Source organism: Homo sapiens, chromosome 5, assembly GCF_000001405.40.
Source record: "Homo sapiens chromosome 5, GRCh38.p14 Primary Assembly".
Classification (NCBI taxonomy): Eukaryota; Metazoa; Chordata; class Mammalia; order Primates; family Hominidae; genus Homo; species Homo sapiens.
The window spans coordinates 55,096,895-55,122,343 of NC_000005.10; the positions used below are offsets into that span (position 1 = coordinate 55,096,895).

General features: G+C 39.5%; 2 protein-coding genes across 4 annotated transcripts in view; one reads left to right on the top strand and one right to left on the bottom strand.

The window, feature by feature from the left end:
- GZMA (granzyme A) lies at positions 5,752–13,358 on the top strand. Its single transcript, NM_006144.4, has 5 exons — positions 5,752–5,858; positions 8,580–8,724; positions 10,900–11,041; positions 11,231–11,500; positions 13,127–13,358. Exons 1-5 carry the CDS (start codon positions 5,789–5,791, stop codon positions 13,286–13,288), a joined length of 789 nt encoding a protein of 262 aa, NP_006135.2. The 5' UTR covers positions 5,752–5,788; the 3' UTR covers positions 13,289–13,358.
- CDC20B (cell division cycle 20B) overlaps positions 16,077–25,449 on the bottom strand; it is a 60,207-nt gene continuing 50,834 nt past the window's right edge. Inside the window, exons 10-12 of one of the 3 annotated variants that reach the window (NM_152623.2) lie at positions 23,531–23,656; positions 22,919–23,024; positions 16,077–17,424 (exon numbers count right to left, since the gene is read on the bottom strand). In NM_152623.2, the coding sequence (NP_689836.2) occupies positions 17,324–17,424; positions 22,919–23,024; positions 23,531–23,656 (333 nt within the window). In that variant the 3' untranslated portion in view covers positions 16,077–17,323. Of the gene's footprint in view, positions 17,425–22,906; positions 23,025–23,530; positions 23,657–25,449 lie in introns of all 3 variants that reach the window. The other 2 variants (NM_001170402.1, NM_001145734.2) reach the window with 2 other exon arrangements.

The following is a 25,449-nucleotide window of genomic DNA, read 5'->3' on the forward strand; positions in this document are numbered from 1 at the left end:
GGTGGGTCCCACACCCACGGAGCCTTGCTCACTGCTAGAGCAGCAGTCTGAGATCAATCTTCAATGCTACAGCTTGGCAGGGTGAGGGATGTCTGCCATTGCTGAGGCTGGAGTAGGTGGTTTTGTGCTCACAGTGTAAACAAAGAGGCCAGGAAACTCGAACTGGGTGGAGCCCACTGTAGCTCAGCAAGGCCTACTACCTCTCTAGATTCCACTTCTGTGGGCAGGGCATATCAGAACAAAAGGCAGCAGACAGCTTCAGCAGACCTAAATGTCCCTGTCTGACAGCTCTAAAGAGAGCAGTAGTTCTCTCAGCATGACGTTCGAGCTCTGAGAACGGACAGACTGCTTCCTCAAGTGGGTCCCTGACACCCATGTAGCCTGACTGGGAGACACTTCCCAGTAGGGGCTGACAAACACCTCATACAGGCAGGGGGCCCCTCTAGGATGAAGCTTCCAGAGGAAGGATCAGGCAGCAATATTTGCTGTTCTGCAGCCTCCACTAGTGATACCCAGGCAAACAGGGTCTGGAGTGGACCTCCAGCAAACTCCAACAGACCTGCAGCTGAGGGCCCAACAGTTAGAACGAAAACTAACAAACAGAAGAAATAGCATCAACATCAACAAAAAGCACATCCATACCAAAACCCCATCTGTAGGCCACCAACATCAAAGGCCAAAGGTAAATAAAACCACAAAGATGGGGAGAAACCAGAGAGCCTCTTCTCCTCCAAAGGATCGCAGTTCCTCACCAGCAACAGAGTAAAACTGGACAGAGAGTGAGTTTGACAAGTTGACAGAAGTAGGCATGAGAAGGTCAGTAATAGCAAACTTCTCTGGGCTAAAGAAGCATGTTCTAACCCATTGCAAGGAAGCTAAAAACCTTGAAAAAAGATTAGACGAATGGCTAACTAGAATAAATAGTGTAGAGAAGATCTTAAATGACCTGAAGGAGCTGAAAACCATACCACGAGAACTTCGTGACACGTGCACAAGCTTCAATAGCCAATTCCATCAAGTGGAAGAAAGGATGTCAGTGATTGAAGATCAAATTAATGAAATCAAGCAAGAAGACAAGATTAGAGAAAAAAGAGTGAAAAGAAATGAATAAAGCCTCCAAGAAATATGGGACTATGTGAAAAGACCATTTTGATTTGTGTTCCTGAAAGTGATGGGGAGAATGGATCCAAGTTAGGAAACCTTCAGGATATTATCCAGGAGAATTTCTCCAACCTAGCAAGGTAGGCCAACATTCAAATTCAGGAAATACAGAAAACACCACAAAGATACTCCTTGAGAAGAGCAAACCCAAGATACATAATTGTCAGATTCACCAAGGTTGAAATGAAGGGAAAAATGTTAAGGGCAGCCAGATAGAAAGGTCAGGTTACCCACAAAGGGAAGCCCATCAGACTAACAGCAGATCTCTCAGCAGAAAGTCTACAAGCCAGAAGAGAGTGGGGGCCAATATTCAACATTCTTAAAGAAAAGAATTTTCAACCCAGAATTTCATATCCAGCCAAACTAAGCTTCACAAGTGAAGGAGAAATAAAATCCTTTACAGAAAAGCAAATACTGAGAAATTTCATCATCACCAGGCCTGTCTTACAAGAGCTCCTGAAGGAAGTACTAAACATGGAAAGGAACAACTGGTACCAGCCACTGCAAAACCATGCCAAATTGTAAAGACCATCAATGCTAGGAAGAAACTGCATCAACTAACGAGCAAAATAACCAGCTAGCATCATAATGACAGGACCAAATTCACACATAACAATATTAATCTTAAGTGTAAATGGGCTAAATGCCCCAATTAAAAGACACAGACTGGCAAATGGGATAAAGAGTCAAGACCAATCAGTGTGCTGTATTCAGGAGACCAATCTCCATGCAAAGACACACATAGGCTCAAAATAAAGGGATGGAGGAAGATCTACCAAGCAAATGGAAAGCAAAAAAAGCAAGGGTTGCAATCCTAGTCTCTGATAAAACAGACTTTAAACCAACAAAGACCAAAAAAGACAAGGCCATTACATAATGGTAAAGGGATCAATGCAACAAGGAGAGCTAACAATCCTAAATATATATGCACACAATTCAGGAGGACCCAGATTCATAAAGCAAGTCCTTGAAGACCTACAAAGAGATTTAGACTCCCACACAATAATAATGGAAGACTTTAACACCCCACTATCAATATTAGACAGATCAACGAGACAGAAGGTTAACAAGGATATCCAGGACTTGAACTCAGTTCTGCACCAAGCAGATCTAATAGACATCTACAAAACTCTCCATCACAAATCAATAGAATATACATTCTTCTCAGCAACACATCGCACTTAATCTAAAATTGACCACATAATTTGAAGTAAAGCACTCCTCAGCAAATATAAAAGAACAGAAATCACAACAAACTGTCTCTCAGACCACAGTGCAACCAAATTAGAACTCAGGATTAAGAAACTCACTGAAAACCACACAACTACATGGAAACTGAACAACCTGCTCCTGAATGACTACTGGGTAAATAACAAAATGAAGTCAGAAATAAAGATGTTCTCTGAAACCAATGAGAACAAAGACACAACATACCAGAATCTCTGGGACACATTTAAAGGAGTGTGTAGAGAGAAATGTATAGCACTAAATGCCCACAAGAGAAAGCAGAAAAGATCTAAAATCAACACCCTAACATCACAATGCTAAAAACTAGAGAAGCAAGAGCAAACAAATTCAAAAGCTAGCAGAAGGCAAGAAATAATTAAGATCAGAGCAGAACTGAAGGAGCTAGAGACACAAAAAACCCTTCAAAACATCAATGAATCCAGGAGGTGGTTTTTTGAAAAGATCAACAAAAATGACAGACTACTAGCAAGACTAATAAAGAAAAAAAGAGAAGAATCAAATAAATGCAATAAAAAATGAAAAAGGGGATATCACCACCGATCCCACAGAAATACAAACTACCATCAGAGAATACTATAAACACCTCTATGCAAATAAACTAGAAAATCTAGAAGAAATGGATAAACTCCTGGACACATCCACCCTCCCAAGACTAAACCAGGAAGAAGTTGAATCTCTGAATAGATCAATAACAGGTTCTGAAATTGAGGTAATAATTAATAGCCTACCGACCAAAAAAAGTCCAGAACCAGATGGATTCACAGCCAAATTCTACCATATGTATAAAGAGGAGCTGGTATCATTCCCTCTGAAACTATTCCAATCACTAGAAAAAGAGGGAATCCTCCCTAGCTCATTTTATGAGGCCAGCATCATCCTGATACCAAAGCCTGGCAGAGACACAACAAAAAAAGAGAATTTTAGACCAATATCCCTGATGAACATCGATGCGAAAATCCTCAATACAATACTGGCAAACCAAATCGAGCAGTACATCAAAAAGCTTATTCGCCATGATCAAGTTGGCTTCATCCCTGGGATGCAAGGCTGGTTCAACATATGCAAATCAATAAACATAATCCATCACATAAACAGAACCAACAACAAAAACCACATGATTATCTCAATACATGCAGAAAGGGCCTTCAACAAAATTCAACAACCTTCATGCCAAAAACTCTCAATAAACTAGGTATTGATGGGACGTATCTCAAAATAATAAGAGCTATTTATGACAAACCCACAGCCAATATCATACTGAATGGACAGAAACTGGAAGCATTCCCTTTGAAAACTGGCACAAGACAAGGATGCCCTCTTTCACCACTCTTATTCAACATAGTGTTGGAAGTTCTGGCTACAGCAATCAGGCAAGAAACAGAAATAAAGTGTATTCAACTAGGAAAACAGGGAGTCAAATTGTCTCTGTTTGCAGATGACATGATTGTATATCTAGAAAACCCCATCATCTCAGCCCAAAATCTCCTTAAGCTGATGAGCAACTTCAGCAAAGTCTCAGGATACAAAATCAATGTGCAAAAATCACAAGCATTCCTATACACCAATAACAGACAAACAGAGAGCCAAATCATGAGTGAACTCCCATTCACAATTGCTTCAAAGAGAATAAAATACCTAGGAATCCAACTTACAAGGGATGTGAAGGACCTCTTCAATGAGAGCTACAAACCACTGCTCAACGAAATAAAAGAAGACACAAACAAATGGAAAAACATTCCATGCTCATGGATAGGAAGAATCAATATCATGACAATGGCCATACTGCCCAAAGTTATTTATGGATTCAATGCCATCCCCATCAAGCTTCCAATGACTTTCTTCACAGAATTGGAAAAAACTACTTTAAAGTTCATATGGAACCAAACAAGAGCCCACATTGCCAAGACAATCCTAAGCCAAAAGAACAAAGCTGGAAGCATCATGCTACCTGACTTCAAACTATACTACAAGGCTACAGTAACCAAAACAGCATGGTACTGGTAATGGCTGCACAACTATGCAAATATACTAAAATCCATTGACTCATACACTCTAAATGGGTGACCTTTATGGTGTGTGAATTATGTCTCATAAAGTTGTTAGAAGTCAACATAAATGGAAGAGCAACCATTCACATAAAAATAAACAAAATTGTCAATGTTTTAAGAATTTTTCAGTAGGTGTAGTTAATTACAATTTGACTTTTTTAAGTCTGCACTAAAATTACTCACCAAAACCAATAGCAGGGTCCTCACTGCTGTTACTGAAAATGATTAACCTTTGATACACTTGTAATATCTGAGAAAAAGAAATGCAGGGGTCTCAGCAGGGCTCCCTTCTAAGGTCACTTGATTTCTAAAGAAGTAACCACTAGGTTTGAAGTCATCAGGATGTTAACTATGGGGATGGTTGGTTCAGTACCCAACATCCTGACAGCACATCTGACCATGTATATTGTATCGGAGACCACATCCTCAGCTCAGAAAAAGAGCTGAACTCATTTCAAATAGAAAGCACACTGCATACTGTTCCTCCAGGGACTGAGGTTGACTCTTCTTAGAGTGAGACATTCCCCAACATTGGAACAAAAATGACTCCCACTTCTTTTCTCACCTAAACCTGTTCAGAAGAAAGTAAGGAAGAAAGGCAGGAAGCAGGGGTCGGGGGGGGGCGGGGAGGGAGGGAAACTCGGAGATACTTTCAGTATCTAAAGTTGTGAAACTAGACAATCAGGAACGCACAATCAGAGGGCTGAAAAGGGCCAAGAGCCCCTACCCTCCTCCAGCCCATGTTCCCACACCTGCCACAGACCAGGCAGGAGCACAATAAACACTCACCACAAAGTGGGGAAGGAAAATCCAGGCAGGAGCCTCTATGTAAATAAATCTCCCTCCTGTCCTCAGCTTGCACTTGGCCTGCTAATTCTTATATAACCCAAGGAGACAGCTAGAAAGAATTTTGATTGGTGACCAATTTTGAGGACTTTTATTAAAATTCTAATTTAAGTCTTCGAGAGTTTCCAGTCATGGATACTACAGATAATATTGCAGATGATGAAAGCGTCTTCAAAATCATAGCTGAGACACTTTACAGTCTTCCCTGGTGTACTCTGATGGCAACAAGGTCCCTTGCCCCTCTCCTACCCTGTAGAATTCCAGCGCCCCCCTCAGCAGTCCTAGCAAAGGAAAGCCTGCCTGCTGGCAGTGAGCCATCATCCACCATTCTCACTTATTTGGATTTGGTTTCCTAATGCTAAACTTTGAAACTTGAAAAAAAAAATGAAAGGAAACCACATCCTTTTTACTCTCAGTATATAGATAGAGGCAGTTAAGAACTGAAAACAGATTTTCAGGTTGATTGATGTGGGACAGCAGCCACAATGAGGAACTCCTATAGATTTCTGGCATCCTCTCTCTCAGTTGTCGTTTCTCTCCTGCTAATTCCTGAAGGTAAGACTGATTCTTCTCATTTCCATTATGACCATGAAGCAAAATGGAGCAGACTTTCAATGAACTTTTGGCAATATTACCTTCCTATACTGAAAGAAGATGTTTTCCCCCAAGCCTTATAATGTTTAGCCAGGCACAATGGCACATGCCTGTAGTCCCAGCTACTAGGAACGCTGAGGTGGAAGGATCACTTGAGCGCAGGAGTTTGAGTCCAGGCTGGGCGACATAGTGAGACCCTGTCTCTATTTTTTTTTTTTAAATAGCATTCTTTCTTGGATTTTAAATATGTCTGTATTTTAGAAAAAAAAATCTTTTCTTCTCATAATTATTTTGCAAAAGATAGCAGAACCACCAATGCTTATTGCTGCCAATTTGTAACTTGAAAATTGCCAAAAAGGACAATGTAAAAATGAGTTAACAAAACTCTCTTGTTCGTAAAACAAATAGTACCTTCCAGGAAAGGAATAGTGGCAACTTAGTCAGCTCAGCCTTTCCTGCTGCAGAAAATGCATAGATAAAGACAATTAAGACAAATCTGACCTAGACACCAAAAGTGAATCAGGAATTATTAGAATTTTTATACTTATTTCTCTGGTCTAGAGACTCTTTGGCAATAAATTAAGGCGTGAGGCCAGTTCCCTCATTAACCCTTTGGGTGTGCTATAGTATTTTTTATTAAGCTAATTTTTTGTCTACCAAATGGTAACCAATATTTCTGCTTTTGTGTGAGTTGAGCATGCATGGGTTAAAATGCTGTATAATTCATGGTATTACCACTGAAAGGGTGACAGCTCTTGGGGAGCTCTAGATTTCCCTTGAAGAACCTGCTAGGAAGTGAGGACTACTCTCAAGCTGTGGCAATATGGAGCCAGCCACGGTTTTTCCCAGGATTCATCAGCTTTTGGAGGCAGGGACTTATGTAATAACCTGCCTTGCCAGGAATTCCCAAAGAACTCTGGTTTATCATATTTAGGTGCATATCTGGTTTATGCACCTAAATATGAGAAGACTTTGGGAGGCTGAGGTGGGTGTTTCACAAGGTCAAGAGATGGAGACCATCTTGGCCAACATGGTGAAACCTTGTCTCCACTAAAAAAACAAAAATTAGCTGGGTATGGTGGCACGTGCCTGTAATCCCAGCTACGCAGGAGGCTGAGGCAGGAGAATCGCTTGAACCAGAGAGTTGGAGGCTGCAGTGAGCTAAGATCGTGCCACTGCACTCCAGCCTGGTGACAGAGCGAGACTCTGTCTCAAAAAAAAAACAAAAAAGAGAGAGAGAGAGAAGAAATATAAAAATAACAAGGCTGCAGGACATTTGGGACAAAGGTTGGCTATGTTATAAGCAGGGCATAGTATGACTATATTCAGGCATGTTAAATCCTCCATAACAGAAAAACACAGGGCAGATAAATCCAGCCATATCTTTTCTTCAAAGGAAAACAACAAAAGCAACCTGCTGTGCTCCTCTTTGTTTCCTGTGTTCAGAGAGGGCAGTGTGGGCCCATATAAGGAACAGACAGCAAAGCAAGGCACAGTTGAAATCTATCTGTACATGAATCACCCTAGGAAAATTGGGATTGGGTGAAGGTCTTTTGTTTCTATAAGCTCTTTACCCTTTTGTTTCTAGAGCCTAGAATTTCTTCCTCCCAGTTTCCTTTTTAAAAGCAGAGACCTCTGCTTTTTCAAATCACACTAGCCACATTTCATGTGGTCACTCTCCTCCTTGCTCTTACCCTCATCAAATCTTACGAAAGGCTTCTATAGCTGTCATTAATACTTGCCTGTGAATTTGGCAATGACTTAGTCCTAATTATGGAACAAGAGGCACTGTGCCCTATTCAAGAAACCATGAGTCTCAGCAAAACTATTTTGGGAGAATCCAAGAACATCTGGTGCAGGAGGTGGAGCACTCGGAGTGTATCACTAAGACATAAGGTTCTCTCTATCTGCATGTATGGTTTGCCTTGTGTTTAGTTCTCACTGTTCCTTAACAATGGGTCTCTACTTCAAGACTATCATCAAGGAAATGTCACTTAGGCAGAATTCTTGGCATATGGTATCTTCTCTCTTCTCTTCCCTATCTCATTGGAAAAGACCTTAGATTAAACCCCATGGTTTGGTCTAGAGATTGAAGGGGAGGTGCAATCGATGTTATTTTCTTAACTTATGAGTGAGAACAGTGCAGTTTAATAACCAAAAGTCTCATAATGACCAAAGGACTGAGGGGTAGGGTCACAGCTAAACGATGCTAATATCGGTTCATAAGCTATATTTTTGCAATGGCTTGGGGTTAAAAGGGAAGTTATGAGGCTTCTAAAAGTCTTATCTATTTCCCCCAAATTAATAGTTAGCCAAAAAGGGTGGGAGCACTTGAGGTTGTCACTACCACTGGCATTTCCTGCAGCAACTGTTGATGGTAAAGACCAAGGCAGAGCTTTCTGCCCTGGGGCCTGAGGTTGCTGGTTTGTGACATCCAGCCTAATGATCCTGGAACAGTCAATGGCCTCGCTTCTGTGGGTGGAAAAACAGGACCCTAGAGTCCAACAGGAATAGGATTTGCATCAGATGTCTGCGGGTCTACATAGAGTAAAAGCAGGGGAAATGCTCTCATCCAGACTTCCTCTCTGAGTGCAAAAAGCATGGCTGGTCTTAGAAACATGACTTTGTGTAGAGCTCTTTGGGGGTGAGCACCAATCTGATTTGTCTTTTTCCATTGAACAGATGTCTGTGAAAAAATTATTGGAGGAAATGAAGTAACTCCTCATTCAAGACCCTACATGGTCCTACTTAGTCTTGACAGAAAAACCATCTGTGCTGGGGCTTTGATTGCAAAAGACTGGGTGTTGACTGCAGCTCACTGTAACTTGTAAGTGCCTGGGTTTTTAAAAAAAAGTTTGTAAAGATACTCTAATTTGGGGAAACATTAATAAAAAGAGTAGGCCGGGCACAGTGGCTTACACCTGTAATCCCAGCACTTTGGGAGGCCAAGGCAGGTGGATCACATGAGGTCAGGAGTTTGAGACTAGCCTGGCCAACATGGTGAAACCCCATCTCTATTAAAAATACAAAATTAGCCAGGCGTGGTGGCGCATGCCTGTAATCCCAGCTACTTTGGAGGCTGAGGCAGGAGAATTGTTTGAACCTAGGAGGCAGAGGTTGCAGTGAGCCGAGATCGCACCATTGCACTCCAGCCTGGGCAACGAGAGTGAGACTCCATCTCAAAATAAAATAAAATAAAATAAATAAAATAAAATAAAATAAATAAAATAAAATAAAATAAAATAAAATAAAATAAAATAAAATAAAATAAAATAAAATAAATAAAATAAAATAAAATAAAATAAAATAAAATAAAATAAAATAAATAAAATAAAATAAAATAAATAAAATAAAATAAAATAAAATAAAATAAAATAAAATAAAATAAAAAAATAAAATAAAATAAAATAAAATAAAATAAAATAAAAAATAAAATAAAATAAAATAAAATAAAATAAAATAAAATAAAATAAATAAAATAAAATAAAATAAAATAAAATAAAATAAAATATAAAATAAAATAAAATATAAAATAAAATAAAATAAATAAAATAAAATAAAGTAGATCCCACTGAAGCCATGGGAGGTTCATATGTATCTTCACATCGCTTAAGTCTTTGGGCACTTGCTTGAGCCTAAAAGGAAGTTAGGCCCACACTTGCCACAAAGAATCAGGCAATGAGGAAGCAGCATCCACAAGCTCTTTCTGTACATCTCCACTGAGCCATTGGGTACAGGTGCTGCAGAGCTTTGCTTCTGTCATGACTGCGTGACCAGGTAGAATTAGCCTCAGCATGGAAGGGTGAAACTTTCAGTGCCCCCTCAGAGCCCTGGGTGCAACCATCAAGTACAGAAAGCTTGTGTCCAATGACCTTCTTGTATGCCTCCGTGAATTCCTCTCACATCTTTGGCCATCTCTTCACTCCTGTCGACCACTACATTCAAACCTCTTCCCAGGCCTGGTCTTTTCCTACTCTCTAAATCAAGCCTCTAAACCTAGGCCATTCAATATGATAGGCACTAGCTACATGTAGCTATGTAAATTTCAATCAATTAAAGTTAAATAAAATCTCAAATTAGTTCCTCAGTTGCACTAGCCACATTTCAAGTCCTCAGTAGCCACATGTGGCTAGTGCAGATTCATAGAACATTTCATCATAAAAATATGCTCTACTGGAAAGCACTGTTCTAAGGTCTTTTTCTTTTATTTTTTAATTATTTACTTTTTATTGACATATAATAGTTGCACATATGTTGGGGATACATGTGACCATTTAAGTGAGACTAATCTCAGCTGATGTAATGGAAAAGAGGCAGTGTGCATAATCTGGTTGGTGTAGTTTATACTAGGTTATGAATGATAGCCTTAATCCAATCATCAGTACATCAGAAAGCATTTTGATTTTGATAACCAAAATGAACCTTTAAGAGAAAAAAAGACTCCTGGACCCCTCCTTCAGACCACCATCCCTTCAACACACTCAATGCCAAGCACACTCAATGCCAAGCAAATAGGGTCCTCCATGGGGCAATCTGTTTCTGAAAGTTTTCCCATTTGAGTTTGTTGTTTTCTTGAAAAGATCCCTTCAGTGCATTACTTTACAACTATTGGCTGCTTTTTGCTTCTGTCTCTGGACTACTGAGATCTTTGCTTCCCATCACAGCTAATAAGTAATTCTCCATCACAGCTAAATAAGGCAGGGGTAGGGGGCAGATAAGCACAAGACTTGGCTTTGCTGCCATGGAATTCTCTTGTTTTTCAATGAACCTAGTTTAGCTTTTTATAAATAAGCTGGTGATGATGATGATGACGATAAATTCATAAACATTCTTTTATTCATAAACATTCTTTTATTCTTTAAAGCACACATTTTCTTTCTGAGCCACAAAGAAATCTCCCCACCTCCATATTTACAAATGGGACAATGAAACTGATCAGTATATATGCTCAACTGCCAATACAAAGAATAAATCCAGTAAATAATGTTGTGTCTGTTCTCAGGAACAAAAGGTCCCAGGTCATTCTTGGGGCTCACTCAATAACCAGGGAAGAGCCAACAAAACAGATAATGCTTGTTAAGAAAGAGTTTCCCTATCCATGCTATGACCCAGCCACACGCGAAGGTGACCTTAAACTTTTACAGGTACGTATCTTTGATTGTCTTCTCAAAAGTCATAGAACCTTCTACAATCTGGCCGCCGACGTGAAAACCTTTCCTTGGTGCCCCTGTTGTAAAAACTCACAATAAAGAGGATCCTGAAATTTTGGACTATAATTTAAAATGTAAATATTTATCTTATCCCATTAACACTTTATGTTTTTCTTCCAACAGCTGATGGAAAAAGCAAAAATTAACAAATATGTGACTATCCTTCATCTACCTAAAAAGGGGGACGATGTGAAACCAGGAACCATGTGCCAAGTTGCAGGGTGGGGCAGGACTCACAATAGTGCATCTTGGTCCGATACTCTGAGAGAAGTCAATATCACCATCATAGACAGAAAAGTCTGCAATGATCGAAATCACTATAATTTTAACCCTGTGATTGGAATGAATATGGTTTGTGCTGGAAGCCTCCGAGGTGGAAGAGACTCGTGCAATGTAAGTAAAATAAGATCCCACGTTTCAGCTATTGAATTAAGTCATGCAGACAGAGAAAATGTAATGTCATGCTTTGTTTTGTCATGGCACTGGCTTCTACAGGATCCTAGAGCTTTTTGAAATAAGTTTAATAAAACCCCAGTCAAATAAATGAATGCTCGCAGCTCAAGTGAGTCATTAATCAAAAATAAGAAGTTCACTGCTAGTGCATGGGGTGACCTACTACATATTTTTGATTTTTTACAAAAATTACTAAGAAGCAATGTTTGGTCTCATTTTTCATGTTAACATACGTAGATCTAAACTTGAAGATATACAACACTTATGAGAGCTGAAGTCAGGGTTCCTCAAGGCCACTCAGTACTCTTTCCCCATTTCAGTACATTCCCTCTCCTTCCCCACTACGTTCCTCTGCCATTTAACATCGGCATGTCTGAAATGTCTGTCAAGCCTGGCTGAATATTTCCAGCCAGACCCCATAGCTTCCTAGAGCTTAGTTTAATCTGCAGCAAACTTCAAAGCATGACTCATACCAGAAAATGTGTAAGCTTCCATCCTAGAACCCCCTGAGAAGAGGTGGGATAGGGCCATGCTTAAAGATGAGAATAGAAGAAACATTTTGCAGATTTTTAAACTGAGTACTACCTTGCATTTCTCATTTGTCCCAAAGACCCTATAGAGCCTTACCTGAAGAAGGGTGTGCAGTATGCATGGTTTGGCAGTTACCAGAGACTGAGAAATCCAAAGGTCTCTGTCCTTCCCTAGATCTATGTCTTGCTTTCAGAACCAAAGCTAGCCAAATCCCAGGAAAAGAAAACATTTGTCTTCAGTACCTGTCCACTTTCTCTTCTCTGCCCTAGTTCCCCCATTCCCTCCCTTGTCCACCACCCTGGGTTCCCAGGAACCCAGAACCTTCATGCTTTTGGAACCCACATGCAGCATCCTAAGGCCACGGCAGCATCCCAAGACGCTAGTCCCCATCCCACCAGCCACCCGCCACCACCGAAACTTGGCAATCCTTGCCTGTTCTCTCAACACCCTGGAATTGGCTATTGATGAATTAAACCTAAAGGACTAATTCTGCAAATGCCAGTTACTGTAACAGGCAGGGGAAATAAACCTGTTCAGGGAGGATCCCGGGTTCCAACATGGTTCTTTATTTCATATCTTTATAAGGCCAACTTTTGCCTGAAAGGGACTGATTTGGTTTTGTTTCTTTTGGAAGGCAATTATCTGCTAGAAGAACCACAAAACATAGTGTTTATTCTTTGCTTCAATGTATCATCTGCATTTGACTATTTTGCCCCTTGAGTTATTAAGCATTTTGAGAAAACGACAAATAAACAGGAGACTTTCCTTTCCAAAAGCAGAGCAATAGTCTCAAAATTAGCTGATAACATGTACAAGTTTCACTTCGATTTTCACTGGCTCATAAATAAACCAAGTGAACCAATTCAAAAATATTAAAATATTTCCAAACATTTTAATTTTTAAAATTAAAGCACTATCTTCAATTAAGTCAAGGTTGGTCTTAACTGCATATTAAATGCTGCAGAATTTCTTCCATTTCACTAGTGGTAATGCTGAACACTGACCCCACACCCTACCCCTCTTGTTTTCCTCCAGGGAGATTCTGGAAGCCCTTTGTTGTGCGAGGGTGTTTTCCGAGGGGTCACTTCCTTTGGCCTTGAAAATAAATGCGGAGACCCTCGTGGGCCTGGTGTCTATATTCTTCTCTCAAAGAAACACCTCAACTGGATAATTATGACTATCAAGGGAGCAGTTTAAATAACCGTTTCCTTTCATTTACTGTGGCTTCTTAATCTTTTCACAAATAAAATCAATTTGCATGACTGTACCTGTTTCTCTCTTGTAACCTTAGTGGGCAGATCTGCACCAGCAAAGTGAAGCAGAGTTACATGGCAGCCTTGTAGATAATGCAAGGATTACGTGATCAATGTCACCAGAGTCATTTGTGCGTCAAGTGACATGGGAATGCTTCCTGAATTATTCATCTCTCTGTCTCCATGAAATCCAGCAAGAACAACCCTAAGATCAGGTCTAATAACAAATGCAGTAAAGGCCTCCACAATTCCACAGGAAACAGAAACAGCCAGTCTGGAACATTTGTGTTAAAAGGAAATATAGGGCATTGTTCCACATTAACACCTGCTTTTCATGTTATACACAAGAACCTGAGTCTATGGGAGAAAAAGAAACAAGCAATGCCTTACGGTATTTTCCAAATTCTAGGGCATACAAATAAAGTGCTTGGGCAGCCAAGAAAATTATACAATAGAGAGTCAGCCTTCTTTCTCAGTGCCTTGCATTTAAGCCTTGGATTACCTAGGTGATTTCTCAGTTCTCTTTGTTCTTGAGACGGGGTAGATCCAATCAACATGGTGGTTACAGTGGCTGCCATCCCATAGTAGGGAGTGAGTGTTGACTTGTAGCCAGAAAGTTTTCTTTGGAAAAAACCGTCATAATATTTTTTCAACATAGTGAATTTAGTAGGTAGTCATCAGCCTGCAGTCATTTCAAGATGTGATTATGTGAACAGATTCTTTCCATTTCTATAGTCCCTTTAGTAATATAAATTTTATATATGTATATTATATATTATGTAATACAAATTTCAATATATACATATATTATATATGTATATACACATACACACATATATATACACATATACACACACATATATACATGGATAATACATATTCAAACCAATAACATACAGCAACACAAAGAGACAGGCTCTTAAAATAAAGTGCAAAAAAAAAAAAAAACCAACAACAAAGGAAGGAGCATAGCTCAAAGACTGGCTAAAATAATAGTAAATTCGTTTTCAACCATGGTAGTTCATTAGACTCACCAAGCTCTTTAAAATTACCAATGCCCAGGTCCCACCTCTAGAGATTCTGATTTAATTGGTATTTGGTGGGACCCAGGATGTAGTATTCTTTGTATGAGCTCTCCAGTGATTCTAATATGCAGCCAGGGATAAGAACCCTTATACTAGAAAAGGAGATCTGGTGCTACTATATAAAAGAGAGGCTCTGAGAGAGTAACTACGATGATATTTTAAATACTTGCTACAATCCCTCATTGCTAGTTAGGATTTTAACTGCAAAAAGAGGATGGAATATTCCCTACTGTCAATATGTATTACAGATTTTGAACTCTGTTTAAAAAATGGTTGTATGGAACCCTTGTTAATTGCTGGTAGAAGTGTAAATTAGTACAACTTCATAGGAAAATTGGCAGTGTCTACTAAAACTCAACATATATATAAACCTATGACCTAGCAATTCCATTCCTGGGTAGATCCCAAACACACATGAGTGCTTTTATCCACCAAAGATGTGTTCTGGAATGTACACAGCAGCTTTATTCTTGGAAGTCAAAACTAGAAATAACTCAAATATCCACACACAATAAAATGGATAAACAACGTTACACAGGCATACAATAAAATATTACACAGCAATGAAAAAGAACAAACTTCAGTTTTATGCAACACAAATTTAATGTTGAGGAAAAGTGAGATAAAAAAGAATATGCATGATGAGATTCCATTTATCTGAAAGTTGGCATAAGGAAAAACTAATCCATGGGGATAGCAGTCAGAAAAATGTAGAGCTGCTAACTAGGAGGGGGTACGAGGGATCCCTTTAGGGTACTAGAGATGTTCGTATCTTGATCTAGATGTTGGTTACACACTTATTTATTCATAAATTTAAAACTCATCAAGCTATAAAGACTTATGTGCTTTACTATATGTGAATTATTATTCTGTGAAAAAATTTTAATTACAAAATTTAAAAATAAATTGTAGCCCAGGCTTTTGTGTGCTATCTGAAAGCTTACCTTTTTCTTTATGAAAACCATATTCCAAATTTCCCAACAAAACTAATTGTAGTAACAGATATATTAATATTTTTCTTAAATGAGAGCCTCTTGTTCACATGCCAGTATTAATTGAGAGAAGTGCTCTTTGGTCATGACATAGTGTCATGAGAGTATTAAAACAGAAGTATCCAGAACAGAATGGCAGGGGACACTGGAAATGGTCTAATCATTTTGCTCATTTTCTTCTAAACATTTTCTTACAGGTAATACCTGGCATATTAGGAAGATCAAATTAAAACCATTAAAGAAGAGTGTGCATTGCAGAAAACTATCACATCTGTGGCTTTCAGTGGCCTAAAATTTTCTAAGGCAAGAATTACTAACATTACCAAACAGATCTAAATTTAAAAAACAGGAAAAATAAAAATATATATTGACAAATTAACACTAATTTAACAGAAGAGTCCTAAACTCCCCTGGTATATAATATTCTACTTTTGAATTCTTAAAGTTTTTGTTTTGTTGTGTTGATTTTGGGGGCATAGGGAATAGGTATGTATTAGTAAAAAAAATTCATGTCAAAGCAAAAAAAAATAATCAACCAATATTTGATATCTGGCATATGCAGAACATATGAAGGAGCACCAAAAAATATAACGCATGCTCCCTCAAGCCCTCAATTCAAACTCCTCAGGATGTTAAAACAAAACAACCAACGATTCAAACAGTAATAAAAGATTTTTTTAAACAGCTATAATAGTATAATAATACCAAATAGATGATACAGGCTAATGCCAAGAACTCAAACCCAGGTAACATCATTTCAAAACACTTCCTGGAGAGGTTAGGACTTGTGTGGGTGTGTAAAGGAAAAGGAGAGAGAAGCAAGAATTCAGATTAGAAGAAAAGCTCCAATAAGGCAAGAAATCACAAGACTTAGCCAAAGTCTTAATATAGGAGATGAATGTGAATTAACATTCAAAAGACAGAACAGCGAACTGATCAAGTTTGAAGGAACCTTAGCAGTGATCAAATTCCTATCCTTGCAGATGTTGCAACACATCCAAGGTTACAGGGTGTATTTATGGCAGAGCCAAGGCAAAAAAAGATCTCCTAACTTCAAGTCCTGGGCTGAGGACTCCAGAGGTTGAGGTCAAAGGTGTTTGGTAATAGGTTGTCCTTGAGAGTTGATGAGCAGGGGACTGAGAGGATCAGCACAGGACTTTTAGATGTTCAACCTAGCAGTGGTGTGGAGTCAAGAGGATCAGTTCTAAGACAATTACAGCAGACTGGCTGTCAGGCACACAGGATGTGACTAGGTGAAGCAAAAGAAAAGAGAGCAAAGGGTGAACTGAGGAAGCACAGAGCAGAATAATCAGGAGGTTCCCTGAGTGGGAGACCAGGATAAGGATGAGACCATCAGGAGGGGAAAGGGATTCCTACAGAACTGATTTTTAGAGAGAGCAATATGCATGCTTAACATACTGCCTAGCATATAGTGAGATTTTAGTAAGTGTTTTTCAAGTGAATGAGTTGTGTTTTCAATGTGTTGAGATTGAGCTAAAGACAGGAAAGTATCTCAAAAGGGAACTATCCTGAGGCAATCAGAAATATGAGGTTTGGAGCTGGGGAGAAAAGTCATACGGGAAAGAAGTAGAAATCTTTGCTATAGATGTTATTCTGAATAAAGTAGTGAAAATGAATCTCTAGAAAGGGGTAAGAATGGGAGGAAGAAGAGGAGGGGGAGGAAGAGGGGCAGAAAGAAGAAAGCAGAGAAGAAAAGAAGCGGATCTCTGGGAAGCAGAGCAAGTAAAGCAATCTGCAAAAGAAGAACAGGAGAACAGGCATTCACATCAAGAAGAGTATTTCAACTTGTTTGATACTCATAAAAACCCCATGGAGAAGACATAGCCAACATCATCATCTTCACTCAGAAATAAGGAAACTGAAACCTAGAGGGGCTGGGTGCTAGTAGCAATTCCATACAGAGGCCGTCCCATCAGCTGCAGCAGAAAACACCCGGGTCTGGTCTGGACTCAAAGACAGGTGCAGCACTCTGCCCCTGTGGCCTGGGGGAAGAAGGAAAGACAGTTCATACTCCTCCACGTTACATGGGCTGCTGCTCAGGACTGTAGGCAATGTAAGTTGGGGCCATGAGTCCCATCCCAGGATAAAGGGCTTTCCCACACCCACCAGGTTCAGAGCTGCCACCAACTGAGCCATGCTGGGAGACAGCAGTCAGGGCCGACTGGGACAGTTTTCTCCCTCAGTGCTCTTGCCCCTGTATCAGTGTCCTGTGGCTGCCATAACAAATTACCACCCATTGGGTGGCTTAAAACAACAGAAATTGATTCTCACAGTTCTGGAGATGGGAAGTCTGAAATCATGGGGTCACAGGGGCTGTGCTCCCTAGGGAGGCTCTCGAGGGGATTCCATGCTTTGCAGCTATTGGCAGTCATTGATTTGTGGCCACATCACTCCAGGCTCTGCCTCTGAGACCACATCTCCTCCTCTTCTGTGTGTCTTTTCTCCTCTGTGTGTCTCTCACAAGGATACTTGCCATTGGATTTAGGGCCACCTGGATAATCCAGGATGATTTTATTTCCAGATCCTTAATGACATCTCCAAATGCAATATTTCTGAATAGGTCCCAGTCTGAGGTTCCAGAGATTTAGCATGGGTATCCTTTAGGAGACCATTTATCAGCCTACCACACCCTTCATGCCCTATACTGTTGTTAGTTCTGTCTTCTCTAATCCAACCATTCCTACGAATGACAGTGCTATGCTCCTGCCACATATCCCAGCCTTCCCCCAGAAGTATCCCACTGGGCCCCAGGTTTCAATAAACTAATCAGATAAACTGAAGCAGCTTAATGAAAAAGGACCAAAAAAGCTCTCCCACAGAGCATGCATGAGCCACACTTAGGAAGTTCTGGAGATAATACTTCTCCTTCTGTTAAATTATTATTTGCCAAAGAACATTCTATGGCACAGTAGTCCTATGAGAGGTTAATAGGTATTAAAAACAAAAAGACTGTTTAATGTTCACACTAATTTGGAAGCTTTGAGTTAAGAAAATTAAACATTTCCTTATTTCAGGATTTCTTCATTTTAGGACTACTAGAAGCATTACAAATGTTTCGGAGATGAGGCAACAACAGGCAGTACTTCTCAGATTTATCTGACCACAGAGTTCTTTTAATTTGAGCATCTCAAGGGCTAGTGCTCCTTGGAAAATGCTTTGCAAAATCTGGCCCAATCCAACAGTGACTTTAATGATCAAAACTTTAGGCCAAAATAGGTGAAGCTGACTCTATGAAAGGAGCCTGAGGCTAGGAGAATGAGGGAGGAAAGGAGGTCAGATATGGTTTTGAGTGGGTAGCTATTTGTGGGCACAGCTGAAATCAAACTAGATGGGTGGTCACTGCTCAAAGGACCAGTACTGCCTACGACTCAATTGAGAGCTGGAATTTCAGAAATGATCGTGTACTCTGATACAAGGTTCTCAGCAGAAAGGAGTGTGAAAACACTATTCCACTCCCAAGAGAGACATATTTGAGATGCTTATTCTTCTACACACATCACTCCCAACACTCTCCTTTGTGCCTGTCCACGTGCATGCGCAAGCACACACACACACACGCACACACACACCACACACACACGCACCAGTAAAGGATGCCTCCAAGGGGACATGGGATTGGCCCTGGGTGTGTTGGGACATAAAAAAGTTTACATTTATAACGACAATGCAGGCCCCTTATTTTATAGGTGAGGGAAAAGATTTGGGGATACCAAATGTATTGCCCAAGGTCACACAGCTAATCAATGACAGAGCCAGAACTAGGATCCAATTCAATGCTGTGACTATTCAGACCACACTCCAAACCCTGATGAAAGAATCTCTTTTTTTTATGGAAGACCACTGTCTATTATTTAAAAAATAATAAACCATATAAATGAAAAGCAACTTGATTTAGTTGTTTTAAAAGGATAAATATAGGAGACGGACACAGTGGCACACGCCTGCAGTCCCAGCTACTCAGGAGGGTCACTTGAAGCAAGGTGTTTGAGGCTACAGTGCATTATGATCAAGCCTGTGAATAGCCACTGCACTCCAGCCTGGGCAACATAGAAAGATCCAGCCTCCTAAAAAGAAGAGGATAAATATATAATAGAACATTACTCTAATGCTTTTATTTATTTATTTATTTTGAGACAGGGTCTCACTCTGTCACCCAGACTGGAGTGCAGTGGTGCAAACACAGCTCACTGCAGCCTCAACCTCCTGGACTCAAGTGATCCTTCCACCTCAGTCTCTCAAATAGCTGGGACTATAGAGTGTGCCACCATGTCTGGCTAATTTTTGTAATTTTTCTAGAAATGGAGTCTCACCATGTTGCCCAGGCTGTGCTGATGCTTTTAAATTAATAAGAAAGAAAAGTCTATTCAACAAATGTAATAGGTAATAAATATGCCTTCACTCTTTTGTGTTATGATGAAGAAGAGAAAAAGGGAAAAGGAATAATGGTGGGGGGAAATCCCAATCTTTTCCAAAGCATGTACTGAAAACTATCTTGACTTAAAAACTGGAAAGCTACTTTTAGAATTTGTTAGGAAAATGGCATTTGGACTGGACGCAAAGACATTCTTGAAGTTTTTCTCTCACATCAGTGACAATCTTAATTTACCAGATAGTGGGAAATGTCGTCTTTATCTCGGACAAAGGTCCTTTTTAGGCTTTATTTTCTCAAGTTCTAAGAATACAGACACTGAAAGCATGAAAACGTTGTCTTCTTTCTGCAACTATAGTCATAAATGAGACCACATATTGATACATGGAATGATGAAACCAAGCCAAAGGCCAGATCTCACCCTATAAGCTAAAAAGCTACCTACTCCTATTTTAAAGCTTAAAAATTACAACTCTTGAGTAGGTGGGAATAATCATAAGTTACCTTTCTTCTGTAGTCAGGTGGGTGAGGTCTCTTTAACTGAAATTTTCCCCCCAAAAAAAATCATGACTATGGTTAACAGGGTACGGCTTAGTAAAGGTGTGACCAGAATCTAGAATAGTTTTGTTCCAAACTTTGTGACCACAATCCACAGCCAAAACTATATTTTATGTAGCAACCCCATACACAGGCACATACATGTACTACATAACTATAACATAAGTTTCATAAAATACTACTTAATTTTCCATTTTCCCATCCTATACTATTCTATTTCACTTTTTATTGCTGATCTTGACTCACTACATTCATAATCCAATGGTCATGACCCCCAGTTTGAAGACCCTGATCCAGATCTCAGTCATCAGGTGTATGTCAAGAGCGCTGTTCTTGACCCACAATGGAAACACAGCCTCACAACGAAAGCCATAAAAATTAAATACCTAGGCCAGGGGACACAGCAGTGCTCCCTCAGTGTGTTCATGGAACAAGTACTTCAAGATGTCACCCACTACAGATTTCCCAAATGTGTTTGGGAAACAACAAATGCTATCACCTTCTCTTGGTGATGCACAACACACATAATCTATCCAAGCCTTTGGAAGGTCCTTAAGAAAGAAAACAGTGGCCAGGCATGGTGGCTCATACCTATAATCCCAGCACTTTGGGAGGCCGAGGTGGGTGGATCACCTAAGGTCAGGAGTTCGAGCCCAGCCTGGCCAACATGGAGAAACCCCATCTCTACTAAAAATACACACAAAAATTAGCCAGGCGTGGTAGTTGGCGCCTGTAGTCCCAGCTACTTGGGAGGCTGAGGCAGGAGAATTGCTTGAACTTGGGAGGCGGAGGTTGCAGTGAGCCGAGATGGTGCCATTGAGCTTCAGCCTAGGCAACAGAGTGAGACTCTGTCTCAAAAAAAATAAATAAAAAGAAAAAGAAAAGAAGAAGAAAAAACTGTTCTAGCTTAACCCCAAATTTCCAAACTTACTGACCACATGGTATGTTTTTGTATTAACAACTTTGTATGTATGTTTTGTATAACTGCTAAACACTTTTGAGAAATACTGTATGTAGAAGAAACTAATGGGTTAGAGATAAAAATGAGTGTCTAAGAGCTCAAAAGTAACCTCATCTCCAACTATAAGCATTTTAAGAGAAAAGGTTAAATGCACTCTTGGAAATTCTAATATTAATGAAAAAACTCGCAAGGAGTTAAAACTAAAGTACTTATAGCTTGTGAGGACCAGAGAAACAAGGAAATACACCTGGTAAGTACATTCTTTATTCTAAGCATCAGCAAATTGATTTGAATATCCTATCACATGCCCCCACCTAGCTGAAGGCCATACCTAGCTGCTGGAATTAGTTTTGTAAACAACCAGGTTTTAAGGCTTGATTTACAATACTTCTCTAATCTGAAAAGGTCCAGGGAATTGCATGTCTTTTGATTAAAAATATGAGGATTGACTCATGCTCTTCCTACACTTGCACCTGATCACCAAAATGGCTCTGCTAAGAGTTCCCTGTATTCTGATCCAGGCCACAGAGTGTGACAGCTGAAGAATACAAAGGTCATTCTGAGGCTGAGGTCCAGTCGGGCTCATCATCAGAGGCAGGAAGTCTATCTGATAAGGCTGTTTCATTGTTGCCCACTAATATTCTCAGAATCTCCAAAGAGAGTCATGGTATTATCACTACCTAACATTGCATATATTTGTTTTCTGCATGTCTCCTCTCACAAAAGTGTAGGCTCCCTGAGGGCAAGAACATTGTCTCTCTTGTTCACCTGTGTATCCCCAGCACCCCAAAAAGTACCTCCCACATAATAGATGCTTCATAAATAAATAATCAATAAGTAAACCTCAGGGATTGGCCAGGAGGCCAGGTGAGTGAACAGAGGAAAAAGACGGGATATATAATCAGAGTTCTACAAGAGATTGGATGCCGGTGCCCTGTTCTTGCATCGACCACCAGTTTTGTCTTCCTGTTTCCCTGGGCTGGGTAGAGGAGATACTCTACTCACCCTTGAGCCCCCTTTAACATTCTAGATGCACAAAAGAGGATTTAAGGCCCAGAGGACAGGGCCTGGGTCTTGCTCCCCATCATGGGGTCTTTCTCTCAAGAAGTACCCAGTAAAAGTTTGTAGAACGAAGCTGAGAAGAGTAGTGGTCTACCTTGAAAGGGCAGATGTTCACAGAGGAAGCTCATGGTCATTAGTGGCCTCCTGACACATAATGTCTTGCCCTTTCAGATCGCTTTATCTTCCACCCATTCTACACCGCTGGTTTTTCTTCAAAATAAGATGATTTGTGATGCTAACTCGAGTTCAAAAACTGCCCAAGATCACCACTCCATCATTCATATACATATGCAAGGAGGAGATGACTTAATTTAAAGTGATGAACAATCTTAGGCAAATTCAGAAACATTCAACTATACGCTCTCTGAGGTAGGGTGGATGTAGGACTTTTTCCTCTGATGAAATGTGTACTTAGAAAAACCAGAAGGATAAAATCTTTCATTCAGGGCTTTTCCCCCCAACAACAGCTCACTTTGCTATAGGTGCATGGCATTTTACTCACCCATTTGCTTACCAAAAAACCCACCTGACCTGGACACAGTGGGACAGGTCCACACAGTCACATCATTCTTGGGAGTACCTTGACCAGTTGCAATCTCCTTTGTCTTAGGTAGCCAGATTAAGGAACAAATCTGTAATAATGATCAAAAATAGAGAATTCTTGCAATTTCTGATTCCTTATGAATATAGTTAAACTGGTTACAGGCAGTATGCACTGTCCATGACCCAACCTCCAGTACAGCTGGGGTAGGATGTTAAAGAAATTACAACCATTCTAGGAAAGTTTATCCCAAGGCAACAAAGGATCAAGTATACAAATAGGCTTAGGTGCAATAAATTGAAGAATTTAAGTGAACTGTGATCATTGGCCAGGAAGAGCCAGATTACTCTCAAAGTTCATGGTCAAAGCAGTGATGGGGAAAGAAAGGAAATGTGAAAAAAAGAAAACACAAATTATATTAACTTTGAACTCACAAATGAAGAGGTTTTTACAATAAAAAGAAACTCTTGAGAACTCAAATTCCTTATGGACTCAATAGAGAAAGAGAGCTTGTTGGGGGCATAGGCTCTGTTGTAAACTATTTTCACAAGATTCCAGAAGATCAAAATGAAGATGAAGCCCAGAGGAGATATTAACCTGTGAGTTTGTGCTTGGGGTCTGGATGCTCTTCCCAGCATTTATATCCAAGATGTGTAAGCGTCCATCCTTCATTCCTCCTCCAATGGCAAGGACCCCAGACTGCCAGGGACACCAATCCATGGCCTTTAAAGTTTCACATAATAGCACAGACAGGTCAGCTTCAAAGGAGGTGCACTCATGAATGTGATGCACTTAGGTAAGCAGCAAGTCCCCACGTCTGCACCTGTCACAGCTCTCCTGGGCCTGCTATCTAAAGGCAGGAGCAACTGCACCCTCCAGAGATTATTCCTCAGGGACTAGCAGTCACTTCTGGAAGGGAAGGTACCTAATACGACTCAAATCAAATTGTTATCAAATGATGATAACAATTGTGGATTTTTTAACATAGACTATGCAATAACAGTTGAAAAACTACATGCAATACATCCTATGGGGCAAAAATCTGCTGCTGGGATAGTTCACATGTGCCCTTGCAAATTGGCTCTGAAAATGCAGGCTTTCTCTGATTTGTCTACCTGTGTCCTTATGTTCCAGGTAGTGGTCAGATAAGAGAAAAGAGAACTATATGTGATTGCTCACAACTCAACAGTCTCAAGCACTTCAAATCTTAAAGCAGTTCAGAAAATAAAATTGCCTTCTATTTATTTATAATTATAGTTAATTCTAAAAAATAGGATTTAGTATCACACATTTATATTGATAATTGAAATTACTAATAATAATCACTTTAAAGGACATTTTAACAAATACTACAGTTATATGTATCTGTGTATCCTTATCAATCATCTTGGTAACTACCCTCATTTTTGCATCCTCTCTTCTACACATAAAAATATTTTATAAAGTAGCAAACATCGTGTTTATACTATTTGATTATTTTCTGTTGTTTTCACCTATTGTATAAACAGTTTTCCACGTTTTAATAGACTTTTCACAATTATAATTTTTAACAATCCCATAATATTCCATCGTGTCGTTATATCCTGATTAATTTTTGTTCTGCTAATGCTGGACCTGTTTTGGTTTTTTGTTGTATTGTGGTTTGATTTGTATTGGGTTGGGTTAATTTTTTTTGGAAAGGAGTATTTTTTTTGTTTTTGTGCGTGTGTTTTATTTGCTGTTTGCTCTCATAAAGTACATTGTAATGAATACATTCTACATGTCTTTTTTTCTGACAAATTTTTTAAGTAAATTCCAAGGTTCAAAAGAGTTGACATAAAGTTTTCCAAGCAGTTATAACTTTTTACAGCACCAGCATCCAATGAGTATACTAATTTCACCCTGGCTAAAGGTTACATGAAGTTAAAAATGTTATTTTACATCTAGTGAAATTAAAATCATTACAAAACAGATTATAAGGGTAATTTATTTTCTTCTTAGCAAGAATGAACTTTTTTCTGTGTATTTATGTTCCTCTAGCACTTCCCACCATGTGGATTTTTTGCCATCTAAGCACCTACATCTTAACGCTTTTCTTACAAGTTTGAGTCCATTTTTTAAAAACATACATCTGAATATACAATAGTTGCTCTCATTCTTCATTTAACCAACTTGCTAAATTTACCAAAGTTCTCCACTCCTTCTGTAAAACATACTTACTCCTACCCATAGCATGCTAGTCTTCTGTTCTCTAGAATGCTCCACACTTCTACTCCCACTAATTAAGCTGTGGGTTTATAGAGCCCACTGTGTTTTGCCAAACCTGTTTATGACAGGTGAACTTGTTATTATAACTGTGATTTCATCAAATTACATGTAAATGTTTAATTAAATCACCTACTTTATTTGGACTAAAGATGACTGTTACTTCTATGAACTAAATTAAACAATTTGGAAGTCTTTTCTCTTTTTTTTTTTTTTAAGACACAGTCTCACTCTGTTGCCGAGGATGGAGTGCAGTGCTACCACAAAGGGTC